Source organism: Homo sapiens, chromosome 14 (genome assembly GCF_000001405.40).
Source record: "Homo sapiens chromosome 14, GRCh38.p14 Primary Assembly".
NCBI lineage: Eukaryota > Metazoa > Chordata > Mammalia > Primates > Hominidae > Homo > Homo sapiens.
Window position 1 is genome coordinate 44,461,425 of NC_000014.9, and position 13,577 is coordinate 44,475,001.

The 13,577-nt window shown below is 37.1% G+C and overlaps 1 long non-coding RNA gene across 4 annotated transcripts in view; it reads right to left on the bottom strand.

Annotated features, from left to right (window-relative positions):
* Positions 1-13,577, bottom strand: part of LINC02277 (long intergenic non-protein coding RNA 2277) — an 89,356-nt gene that overhangs the window by 68,894 nt on the left and 6,885 nt on the right. The window contains exon 3 of one of the 4 annotated variants that reach the window (XR_001750745.1): positions 5,454-5,745. The exons of the other annotated variants lie outside the window; for them this stretch is intronic. This is a non-coding gene — a long non-coding RNA (long intergenic non-protein coding RNA 2277). Of the gene's footprint in view, positions 1-5,453; positions 5,746-13,577 lie in introns of those variants that run through there. 4 annotated transcript variants of the gene reach the window in all.

A 13,577-nucleotide genomic window follows, 5' to 3' on the forward strand; every position in this document is an offset into this window, starting at 1 on the left:
GCCTCCCAAGTAGCTGGGATTACAGGCATGCGCCACCATGCCCAGCTAATTTTTGTATTTTTAGTAGAGACGGGGTTTCACTGTGTTGGCCAGGCTTGTCTCAAACTCCTGACCTCAGGTGATCTGCCTGCCTTGCCTCCCAAAGTGCTGGGATTACAGGCGTGAGCCACCACGCCCAGCCTGCAATCTTTATATGCCATAGGATGTTATATTCACAAGACTATTGTATTTGATAATAATTTATGATTCTGAAATTTCTAAATCAACACAGCTAAAAGAATCAAAATGCAACCTTGTCCAGAGATAGGAGGCAGTTCCAAATTTGAAAAATCCTCAAAAAGTAGACAAATGTGCTTCTCAGTCTGAAATTTAGATAAGACATATTGAGGCAGGCAAATAGGGTCTTCAGGCAGGGAACATAAGGCCAATTCACACTTCAGATATGACAGGAAAATATCTTCTCCATAGGGTGTAGGCCAAGTAACTAACTTTGTAACTTTAGTTCATCCTCATTTACATTTACTGCATATCCCAAGTAACCAATGGAATCCTCTGGAGGGTACTTAATCTCCCCAAAATTCTGTAACAGGGCCCTTGAGCCCCTATGCTTGAGCCCGCTCCCACATTGTGGAGTGTACTTTCATTTTCAATAAATCTCTTCGTTCCTTCCTTGCTTTGTTTGTGTGTTTTGTCCAATTCTTTGTTTAAGATGCCAAGAACCTGGACACCCTTCACTGGAGACAATATGATGTGCAGAGTTTGAAAGTCAGCATATTAGCTTTTATTGAAGCATGGGATCGCCTAGAGAAAGCTTTAAGGAGAGATCAAAATGATCACCTTATGTTGGGTTCCCTAGAAACAGTGTCCGAGATGTAAATTTTTGTTCAAGTTATTTATTGAAGGAGTGCTGTCAGGAGATGGGGAGTGAGGAAAAGTAATGCAGGAAAAAAAGCTATGCAAGTATGTGGTCTTAGACAAAGCCTAGCTCCATGAGGATCTCTGAATCTGCAAGATATTACAGAGTCGGCCCCACCTTAAGCAAGGAGGCCAACCTTTTAGAGCCCCTCTCCCATCAGAGAAGTGTTAGCTGCAGGCTGCACTGGGAAGGAAGCAGGTCATGGCTCCCAGGGGAGGTGGCTCCTTATTCAGACAAATATTTAGAGAATATTTGCTCAGTTGTGAGGCATTGGCAGCAAACATCAACAGCAGCTGTTGAATTGAGTGCACTGGCAGTTAAAGAGGACCTGGATAGAGCATGAACTGTATCCACAACAAAAATTTTAAAATAAACTTTGGAGAATTCAAATGGAAAAACATCATATGAATGAGGGACACCAATGTCCACCATATGAATGAGGGATGCCAAGAAGTCTAAGAAAGATGACAATAATGAAAGAGAATGGTATTAGTAGCCATCCATAATAGGTGTTTCTGACCATTGCAACAGAAACGACAAAACTGAAAATAGAGCAAGGTGGAGTAGTTACAAACAGTGTGGTCAATTTATTGTCAGATATATAAATAGAATACAGAAGTCTCCATTTATCCACAGGGGATACATTCCAAGACCACCAGTGGATGCCTGAAAACTCAGTACCAAACCCTCTATATGCTGTGTTTTTTCTTAAACATACCTATCTATGATAGAGTTTAGTTAGTAAATTAGGTAAACTAAGACATTAACAACAATAACTAATAATAAAATAGAATGGTTTAGTAAAATAAACACTGTAAGAATTAAAGAAAGAGGAGAGAAACACGAAGGGTGGCTTTTTAGTCAACAGGGACAGGATTATTTTAAATCAACCTGAGAGGGGCGGCTAGCCGAGTTAGATCAGAGCCACACTCTTACAGATTAAGAGTTTTTAAGGATTCAGGGTGGGAGAGTTTAGCAGAGGCTTGGACTGCTTCTGTGTCTCTTTGTTGTGCTTATCTGGGAGGGAGAGTTGTGTGTCTGTTCCCACACATCTTTCTGCAGCTGCAGGCATATCCCTCAGTCTGCTTTTGGCCTCCCCATCTTAGTGCACCTGAAGGGAAAGGAATGTGCTTATTAAGGCCCACTGTTTTACTTGGGCCCATTGTATGAGGGTGAAGTTTGGCAGTTACCCAAGAGACTTTCCCCCAACCTCCCTCTGTGCCCCAGCTGTCTCATCTGTGTTTTACTGTCTGCTCTTTCTGGCTGTTTGTAATAAGAGAAGTGATTTCCTTGAAATGCATGACGCTAGAAAGGGAGCTGGAACTTAAATAGGCAGTGTTTGTCCAAGGTGATGGTGCTCCTGGTCTGTCGAACACAAGCACTGTAATATCACAGCAGTCAATTTGATAACTGAGAAGGCTACTAAGAGACTAATGGATGTTTAGCATACACAGCATGGATATGCTGGACAAAAAGATGATTCATGTCTCAGGCAGACAGAATGAGACGTGAAATTTCAACATACTACTCAGAATGGCATACGACTTAAAATTTATTATTTATTTCTGGAATTTTCCACTTAACATTTTCAGATCATGGTTGACCATGGGTAACCATAACCAGGAAAAGCAAAATCATGGATAAGGAGAGACTACTTTCCTTTTTTAAGATTACATATCTTGCAATATTTAATTGTCTAAAATAATTGATATAAAATAGCAAAACCAAAGTCTATATCAGGCACAAAGACAGGCACTACCATCTTGGCCTTGTAAGATGCCAATCTCAGAGTATGGTCCAAAAATTAGAGCACCTACCTGGAATTCAACAAATCACATGGAGGGGAACTTGGTAGTGGCCTCTAGGTCTACCGGCTTCCCTCAGTGCTATCTCTGCAAGGCTTTGGGGAGATTAGAAAAAAATTTCTTCTTATAAGTATCTATAAATGAGATATTAAACTACACTATAATAAAATAAAGGAAAACTTGATTATGCATAATTAAACAAGAACGTACTATGTGACAACATCCCAGTGATTTGTGATTATCTAACCTTGAAATAAGTCATAAGTATTTGTGTTTAGAATGTAATACTTTATTACATGAACTAGATAAAGAAAGGTACTGATTGAAAATTAAGGCTTTCAATTTCCAGTTTTACTAAATGTTGTTTCCTTATTAAGATTACAGCCATTGAGCCAATAATAATTATTAACCTTTAGTTATTTAAGGAGGTCTTGGGACTTACGCACATAGTATCTTACCAAGTAGAATTCATGGAATATAATCAGAACACATTATGCTTTTGCCTCGAATGCCCTCTAAATGTATTATCTGGGGGTAGTTTTCCTCTCCCTTTGGCAAAAACTCAGTCAGGTCCCACAGTTTCCTCAGTGCTTGTTGATTACACAGCCCTAAACTGATTTCCCACACTCTTGATCCAGCAGATATTTACAGCTGGTTTTATCTGATGCGGTGAATTTTGGAGTTCCTCAGAGATGTCCAGCAATAGTGTTGACTCTCACATGCAGCTCCTTGACCCAAACAAATTCACTCCTTCCCAGTGGTTTTTTACTACTTCCTAAGTCTCTATAAATTTTGCAGTCACTTCTGTCTTCTCTTGAATGTCCCATAGATCACCCTAGCCCTACTTAAGCTCCCTTGATCCTGACCCACTCCAGTCTAGGATAACCTTTCCTTGGATGTGGCCTTCACAACCTGTAGGTGTGTAGTCTGAGCCCAATGTCCCCTTCAGCCCATTTGTCAGCAGATATCCAAATTAAGCTTCCTGAATCCCCCCTCTCTTGCTTAAAAATGAAGGAAGACATGACCCATGGGAAGAGAGTTACTGTGCAATTTTTAAAAATCCACTCTATTTTAATTTTTTTGTAGAGATGGGAGTCTCACGCTGTTGCCCAGGCTGGTCTTGCTTAAACTTCCTACAGCATCATCTGTTTCATGACCGACATTGGTGTTTGATATATGGGTGTCTCTTTTAAAACCTCCAATTTAGCATCCTTTTATATTTTAAAAAAATGAGAATTAAGCCCTGTATCTTATATAAATGCTTTGGAAGTTGCAACAGTGAGAACACCCCAATATTAATAAACTAAAGTAGAGGAGAGGATGATAGAAGCACAGGGATGAACCTTGGTGACAAGAAACAACCATGTAATGGTTCGCAGGAGAACCATGAAATCCTTTTAGCTCCATTCCATCTGTGCAGGAGAACTCTTAGAATGTGTGAGTAACCTGTCTCACAGCCTGGAGACAGGGGAGCTAGCGGGCATAGGGAGCTGTCCACTAACTAGAAAGTCAGCTTTCTTCTACTTCTCTGTCCACTATCTCTTATAGAGGCCCCCTTTCTTTTTTTTTTTTTTTTCAAAAATATATTTGCATTAGGTACTAAATTTGGTTCACTACTGTAGGTGGGTTAGGGAAGACTGGCTCAGAGGTTACCCAAAAGAACATTTTTAGCCTCATTAAACTTAATATTTAAGGAGAATCACTTTCTCACTTGAAGTATTCTGGTAATTATTTTAACTCTCTTTTTTTTATTGTTACCAGTATGAAACTATCCTAAGTCAACTAGAAATAAAGAAATCTGTGATGGAAATATATCCAATCTTAATAAAATTTGGATAATTAGCCTATAGGATTGAGCCAATATACTTCCCCCAAATGAACTAACTTTTGCATTCAACCGCAACACTTAAGATTTCTTTATAATTCACGTTTCCTTGTTTTTAAAACTCAACAATATACTCAAAACTTCACAGATTATAAACCAAGAGGCTGAGCTAATGTTTTATATTCTTTCATTGGTGCAAAAGACTATCATGGGGACCTATAAGGATATGAAATTTTTCTTCCAAAGTAATGACCTTATATTGCACCAGATAGCTAAAATACCACACTCATACATTTCATATTGCATCAAACTCCATATATACTTAAAGTTTTTCACTTTCTTCTAGAATAGTTATGAACAAATAAAATCATTCTGAGTAGAAATAATTTAGTCCTCACTAGTCTATTTTTACACTTGTCACTTTAAAGAAATTTTAAAAAGGAAAAATCTAATCAATCTAATGCAAGAGAAGATTATAGTATTTACCAAAAATGCCTTCTCCATTTACTAGTAAGCTTATGGAAGAAATGGTTGGTCATTTCTGTATCACCTGGTCAGACCCTAAACTTTTAACATGTGATAAATTCCAGCCGTTTTAAAGGCTTAGATGAAAAACAGCCTTTTTTCAGGCAAATTTAAATGTTCCCACCCAAAATAATTATGTTCTATTATAGAAATCAATAATCAAACTTGTCTCCAGTGTGAATTACATAAAAATTATCTTTGAAGTATTAACAAAATAATTTCATTGAGGTAGCAATAACCAATTTCACTTTTTTCCACAACTGTCAAAACTGTAACATAAACACATAAACGTTTTATACATTTTTTTAAGTTACCTTTTACATAATGGAAAAAGTAATAAAAGTAGAGCTCAAGTTTCAAGAAGAAAAGTTTTGTAGGAAAGGATTAGGCAGGGTGATGAGAGACACCCAGGGAAACTAGAAAAATGAAAGAACAGGAATAGAATTTTTAAATTTTTATTGATGTTCTTACAAGGCTTACAGCTGAATGAAGTTAAGCATTCTGCATTTCAATTATTTTTATAGCAGTAAGAAGAATGTAGAAAACAGTTACACATTCATCTTAACTTGTTGTCAGCCTACTGAGAGCAGTCTTCAGAGATTCTCCTCCAATACCACCTAGCTTCATTTTTCTGGCCTCTACACTCACATCAGTATTCCAAAAAGCCTGTATATCTAAAATCAGAAAAGTTTATCATTTCTAGGTGTCTATATATTTACTCTATAGTAATACTTATCAAACGTTAAAGTGCATAAATCTCATCGTGTAAATGTGTTTAAAATACAGTCTAGCATATAGATTATCACCATAACCATCTCTAAAGATTCTAAATCAATTAATCTAAATTTTAATAGAAGTATAACTTGTTCAAGGTTTGAACCACACTAGAGAAACACTGATCTAATTTTGGGTTCACATTCAAATTATTTAAGAGCTTTTAATATTATGACAACTACAATCAACTTTAACCTGTTACATCTTGGAGGATTTGATATAAGAATCAAATTAAATACACAGAAATAGCTAGATGATAGGTGGATGGATGGATACATACATACATACATACATACATACATACATACATACAATGAGAAGTGGGAACAAGAGATGAGGAGAGAATAAGGGGAGATGAAAATAAGTTTTTTTTAAAAAAAAGGTAGCTAAGACTAAGTCTGCAAAATGCAAAACAACAATTTTAATTAAGTTTTACACTTAATTCATTGGTTGTTTAGCAATGTGTAGACACTTCCTTTAGCTACTTTAGAACCAGAACATAGTTTTGAGGGTTCTGTCTCTCTCTCTCTCTCTCTCTCTCTCTCTCTTTTTTTTTTTTGAGACGGAGTTTCGCTCTTGCTGCCCAGGCTGGAATACAATGGCACGATCTTGGCTCACTGCAACCTCCCCTTCCCAGGTTCAAGCAATTCTCCGCCTCAGCCTCCCGAGCAGTTGGGATTACAGGCACCCGCCACCACACCCGGCTAATTTTTGTATTTTTAATGGAGATGGGGTTTTGCCATGTTGGCTAGGCTGCTATTGAACTCCTGACCTCAGGTGGTCCGCCCACCTTGGCCTCCCAAAGTGCTGGGATTACAGGCGTGAACCACCGTGCCCAACCCTCTGTCTCTTTTTTAGTCCTTCTGCATCTTCATGTCTCACTCATAACCAGATTCTCTCTCTCTCTGCTCAGCTTTCTTATCCTTTTGTGATTTCTTTCACTCTTCCCATTTTCTTAGTCACTTTATCAATTTACTATTTTACTGTCTCTTGTTCCTATGTTCACCTTTATTATGGGTGGTCTCCTATATATGGTTGAAAGTACTTCTGCTATTATTATGTCTTCCCCATGCCTTCTGGCCCCACTCTTGAAATCTTAGAACTCCTATCTTTTAGGTTAAGAATTGCCTTATTCACCAACTTCTCTTTTAAAATCTATGTGCTTCTGGAAGAGATATATACTTCTGAAAGATCAAGTCACTATCAGCTGGAGACCCTTTATTTCTGTCAGTCATGAACCACTAGGCTTAAATGGCTTTGGACTTCTAACTGACATGGACAAAAGATGTCTCAGCCTTCCTTAAAATCTGCAGACATCTCACAATATGTACATACACACATTGCAACTTATTTTTCCATCTTCACTTAATTGCTTTGGACACAATTTTGATCACTAGGAATAGCAAATTTTAACATTAAAACATTTTACTAGACTTACAGAGTCAGAAAAATTAAAGAAATAAACTAAAAAGATCAACAATCCATCCTTGAACTTCCTCCCCACCCCCATATTTCATAAAAAGAATTAAGCAATCTCTCAAAAATACAGTCTTAAAATACATGTACACATACATACACTCACACACTCAGGCTAGGGTCATTAATAGTCACATATGCCTATATCTTCACCTCTTTTCTTGTCTAAAAATGTTCCACAACCTGCATTAATTGCCCAATCTAGCACTGCATTAGGCAATGATCATTGTTGAGAAATCTTTCCCATTATCAACTAAAAATTTCTTATAGTTTTTTTCCTTTTATTATGCCCATGGTGAGGGTGAATAGCTAATCATTATCCTTTAACATTTTTCCATACTCTGTGCTTAAAGACAAAGGTTATACCTATCTTTATTTGCCCTTTTATAATGTATTAAACACTTCAGCAGAGGTCCTGCTAAGGATTTTTATTGTCTCTCCTTCCTCACAACCACCCACAACTAGAATCATTATTAAAGCTCATTTTCATATACTGCTTATATTATCAAGAGATGCCTTCAGCATTTTAAAAATATTTTTAACACTCAGCACTTAAGAAATAGCATTCTTCAATATAAATGAAAAGAGAAAATGATTAAAGCTTAAATTCACTAGGCACTCAATAAATGTTTATTGAATTTAGCTGAAATGTCATATTTTTCTATTTTTAATATTCATTATGATTTATTTTCTATTTTCATTTATTATGAGAAAACTTTCCATATTCCAAAAGATTAATTATATTTAATTTCTTCTCCCTTGAATAATTCTTTATTCCCCTGCTATTATGTGTAATATTTCAAAGTAAAGTATTCTTACTACAAGTCTCCTGTCTTCATGTGTCTTTTTCTTGCAACAAATAAACATATTAAATTTCTTCTCTTCTTACTAGTAATTCTTGCCACCTACCTGACTTACAGGAATATTTTGAAGATTGATGGGGCTATCAATAAAACACCTGAAATTCCTTGATGTTGTTTAAAAAAAAAAACAGGAGTGTATAAGGGAAGACAGTAATGCTGTATTTGGGGGAGTGTTTGTTTTTCTAAACATCCTACAGTAATTCCTTAGAGGATCCTTCTCTCCCCTTTGTCCTTGTAATAAAATTATGAGTAAACATGAACTTGATAGAATATGGATCCCCTTAATAAGAGCTCATTCATTTCTATTTGTTACAGAAGATAGGTTCACCATTGTCCATTCAAATAACAACTAAATGGGGCATGACCAGACCAACAGATTTCAAATTAAGATATAGCAGTTTAATAGTATATCGCAGCAGTTGGCTTCTTTATAGCCTATCAACTAACAGAAGAATGCTCTCTCTTAAAAATCAAGAACTATAAGGTTCCACTGTCAGGAAATTAAAGATTTTCAGGTAAATTCTTTACTGCTCTCTTTGTTAATTCTCCTCTCATAGTATTAATCTGTTACAACGGGTACATCTCTGTCATTTTGCATGAGTGGCATAGACTAAACCTGACACCAGAAAACCTGGGTACAAATCCCTTTCCACCACTTACCAGTTAAGTAACCTTGGCAAGTGTTTGTAAATCTAAATTGCCACGAAGGGATAGAATATTTTCTCTCACCAATTTATAAAGTTTTTGAGAGAATGGAATTAGAAGATGTCTGTGAAGGCACGGAATAAATTTTTGATTGCTGTTTTGTATAAGACATTACGATGCCAGCCTACCTAGCTTTTTGGCACTCTACCCCTCAGTTCTATCAGTTGTGAACAGAATTGTGATTCTATTCAATCACATCATAATTCTCACATAAGAAACAAGTAGGAATAAATCATTGGCACATTTAATCATGTCTTCTTATTTACTCAGAGCTGATCTACATGTCAATGTAAAGAGACTGTGATTTTACAAGGGGCTTAAAACATCTCTCAGTATTTTGCGTGCTCCTTCCAACTTCCTGACCAACAGTCCTGTCTGTACCCTTACCCAGCCCTGGCCTTTCCACCTGGAATAGCTTTCCTCTTGTGCTTATTGGAATGATACTAACCTTTGAAAGTCCAGCTTAAAAGTCACCTCCATTAAATAGCCTTCACTCTCTCAATCAGAAGTATTTTTAATCTATTTTTGTTATTCTAGCACCTACTTTTATAGTCCATGTACTTCAGACTCCTCTCTAAGACTATGACCAAAGTGAGTCATAATATTTATCATATTTAGTAATATTTATTTATCACTAAATATTAGTACCAAATAGAGGAAGTTTAACATGAAATTTACTAAACAAATATCTGTTACTTTTACTCATGTCTCACACAAAATTACGAAATTAGTCTTTCATTTGTTTTTCCCACATATGATGCACAAAAATATCTGTAAATATACAATTTTACATCACCTATGACTCTAATTTAAATGTCTCAGTCCTAAACTCAAAGCCTTACATTTCTATTCACTTCCCCCTCCATCTTTCCTTTTTTTAAAAATTTTATTATTATACTTAAAGTTTTAGGGTACATGTGCACAATGTGCAGGTTTGTTACATATGTATACATGTGCCATGTTGGTGTGCTGCACCCATTAACTCGTCATTTAGCATTAGGTATATCTCCTAATGCTATCCCTCCACCCTACCCCCACCCCACAACAGTCCCTGGTGTGTGATGATCCCCTTCCTGTGTCCATGTGTTCTCATTGTTCAGTTCCCACCTATGAGGGAGAACATGCAGTGTTTGGTTTTTTGTCCTTGCGATAGTTTGCTGAGAATAATGGTTTCCAGCTTCATCCATGTCCCTACAAAGGACATGAACTCATCATTTTTTATGGCTGCATAGTATTCCATGGTGTATATGTGCCACATTCTCTTAATCCAGTCTATCACTGTTGGACATTTGGGTTGGTTCCAAGTCTTTGCTATTGTGAATAATGCTGCAATAAACATACGTGTGCATGTGTCTTTTTAGCAGCATGAATTATAATCCTTTGGGTATATACCCAGTAATGGGATGGCTGGGTCAAATGGTATTTCTAGTTCTACATCCCTGAGGAATCGCCACACTGACTTCCACAATGGTTGAACTAGTTTACAGTCCCAACAACAATGTAAAAGTGTTCCTATTTCTCCACATCCTCTCCAGCACCTGTTGTTTCCTGACTTTTTAATGATCGCCATTCTAACTGGTGTGAGATGGTATCTCACTGTGGTTTTGATTTGCATTTCTCTGATGGCCAGTGATGATGAGCATTTTTTCCTGTGTTTTCTGGCTGCATAAATGTCTTCTTTTGAGAAGTGTCTGTTCATATCCTTCACCCACTTTTTGATGGGGTTGTTTTTTTCTTGTAAATTTTTTTGAGTTCACTGTAGATTCTGGATATTAGCCCTTTGTCAGATGAGTAGGTTGCAAAACTTTTCGCCCATTCTCTAGGTTGCCTGTTCACTCTGATGGTAGTTTCTTTTGCTGTGCAGAAGCTCTTTAATTTAATTGGATCCCATTTGTCAATTTTGGGTTTTGTTGCCATTGCTTTTGGTGTTTTAGACATGAAGTCCTTGCCCATGCCTGTGTCCTGAATGGTATTGTCTAGCTTTTCTTCTTGGGTTTTTATGGTTTTAGTCTAACATGTAAGACTTTAATCCATCATGAATTGATTTTTGTATAAGGTGTAAGGAAGGGATCCAGTTTCAGCTTTCTACATATGGCTAGCCAGTTTTCCCAGCACCATTTATTAAATAGGGAATCCTTTCCCCATTGCTTATTTTTGTCAGGTTTGTCAAAGATCAGATGGTTGTAGATATGCGGCATTATTTCTGAGGGCTCTGTTCTGTTCCATTGGTCTATATCTCTGTTTTGGTACCAGTACCATGCTGTTTTGGTTACTGTAGCCTTATAGTGTAGTTTGAAGTGAGGTAGCATGATGCCTCCGGCTTTGTTCTTTTGGCTTAGGATTGACTTGGCAATGTGGGCTCTTTTTTGGTTCCATATGAACTTTAAAGTAGTTTTTTCCAATTCTGTGAAGAAAGTCATTGGTAGCTTGATGGAGATGGCATTGAATCTATAAATTACCTTGGGCAGTATGGCCATTTTCACGATATTGATTCTTCCTACCCATGAGCATGGAATGTTCTTCCATTTGTTTGTATCCTCTTTTATTTCATTGAGCAGTGGTTTGTAGTTCTCCTTGAAAAGGTCCTTCACATACCTTGTAAGTTGGATTCCTAGGTATTTTATTCTCTTTGAAGCAATTGTGAATGGGAGTTCACTCATGATTTGGCTCTCTGTTTGGCTGTTATTGGTGTATAAGAATGCTTGTGATTTTTGCACATTGATTTTGTATCCTGAGACTTTGCTGAAGTTGCTTATCAGCTTAAGGAGATTTTGGGCTGAGACGATGGGGTTTTCTAGATATACAATCATGTCATCTGCAAACAGGGACAATTTGACTTCCTCTTTTACTTATTGAATACACTTTATTTCCTTCTCCTGCCTGATTGCCCTGGCCAGAGCTTCCAACACTATGTTGAATAGGAGTAGTGAGAGAGGGCATCCCCGTCTTGTGCCAGTTTTCAAAGGGAATGCTTCCAGTATGATATTGGCTGTGGGTGTGTCATAGATAGCTCTTATTATTTTGAGATACGTCCCATCAATACCTAATTGATTGAGAGTTTTTAGCATGAAGGGTTGTTGAATTTTGTCAAAGGCCTTTTCTGCATCTATTGAGATAATCATGTGGTTTTTGTCTTTGGTTCTGTGCATATGCTGGATTACATTTATTAATTTGTGTATGTTGAACCAGCCTTGCATCCCAGAGATGAAGCCCACTTGATCATGGTGGATAAGCTTTTTGATGTGTTGCTGGATTCAGTTTGCCAGTATTTTATTGAGGATTTTTGCATCCATGTTCATCCAGGATATTGGTCTAAAATTCTCTTTTTTTTGTTGTGTCTCTGCCAGGCTTTGGTATCAGCATGATGCTGGCCTCATAAAATGAGTTAGGGAGGATTCCCTCTTTTTCTATTGATTGGAATAGTTTCAGAAGGAATGATACCAGCTCCTCCTTGTACCTCTGGTGGAATTTGGCTGTGAATCCATCTGGTCCTGGACTTTTTTTTGGTTGGTAAGCTATTAATTATTGCCTCAATTTCAGAGCCTGTTATTGGTCTACTCAGAGATTCAGCTTCTTCCTGATTCAGTCTTGGGAGGGTGTATGTGTCCAGGAATTTATCCATTTCTTCTAGATTTTCTAGTTTATTTGCATAGAGGTGTTTATAGTATTCTCTGATGGTAGTTTGTATTTCTGTGGGATCAGTGGTGATAACCCCTTCATAATCTTTTATTGCATCTATTTGATTCTTCTCTCTTTTCTTCTTTATTAGTCTTGCTAGCGGTCTATCAATTTTGTTGATCTTTTCAAAAAACCAGCTCCTGGATTCATTGATTTTTTAAAAGGGTTTTTTGTGTCTCTATTTCCTTCAGTTCTGCTCTGATCTTCATTATTTCTCGCCTTCTGCTAGCTTTTGAATTTGTTTACTCTTGCTTCTCCAGTTATTTTAATTGTGATGTTAGGGTGTCCATTTTAGATCTTTCCTGCTTTCTCTGTGGCATTCAGTGCTATAAATTTCCCTCTATAAACTGCTTTGAATGTGTCCCAGAGATTCTGGTATGTTGTGTCTTTGTTCTCGTTGGTTTCAAAGAACATCTTTATTTCTGTCTTCATTTCGTTATGTACCCGGTAGTCATTCAGGAGCCAGTTGTTCAGTTTCCATGCAGTTGAGTGGTTTTGAGTGAGTTTCGTAATGCTGAGTTCTAGTTTGATTGCACTGTGGTCTGAGAGACAGTTTCTTATAATTTCTGTTCTTTTACATTTGCTGAGGAGTGCTTTACTTTCAACTATGTGGTCAATTTTGGAATAAGTGCAACGTGGTGCTGAGAAGAATATATATTCTGTTGATTTGGGGTGGAGAGTTCTCTAGGTGTCTATTAGGTCTGCTTGGTGCAGAGTTGAGTTCAAGTCCTGGATATCCTTGTTAATCTTCTGTCTCATTGATCTCATATTGATACAGGGGTGTTTAAGTCTCCCATTATTATTGTGTGGGAGTCTAAGTCTCTTTGTAGGTCACTAAGGACTTGCTTTATGAATCTGGGTACTCCTGTATTGGGTGCATATATATTTAGGATAGTTCGTTTTTCTTGTTGAATTGATCACTTTACCATTATATAATGGCCTTCTTTGTCTCTTTTGATCTTTGTTGGTTTAAAGTCTGTTTTATCCGAGACTAGGATTGCAACCCCTGC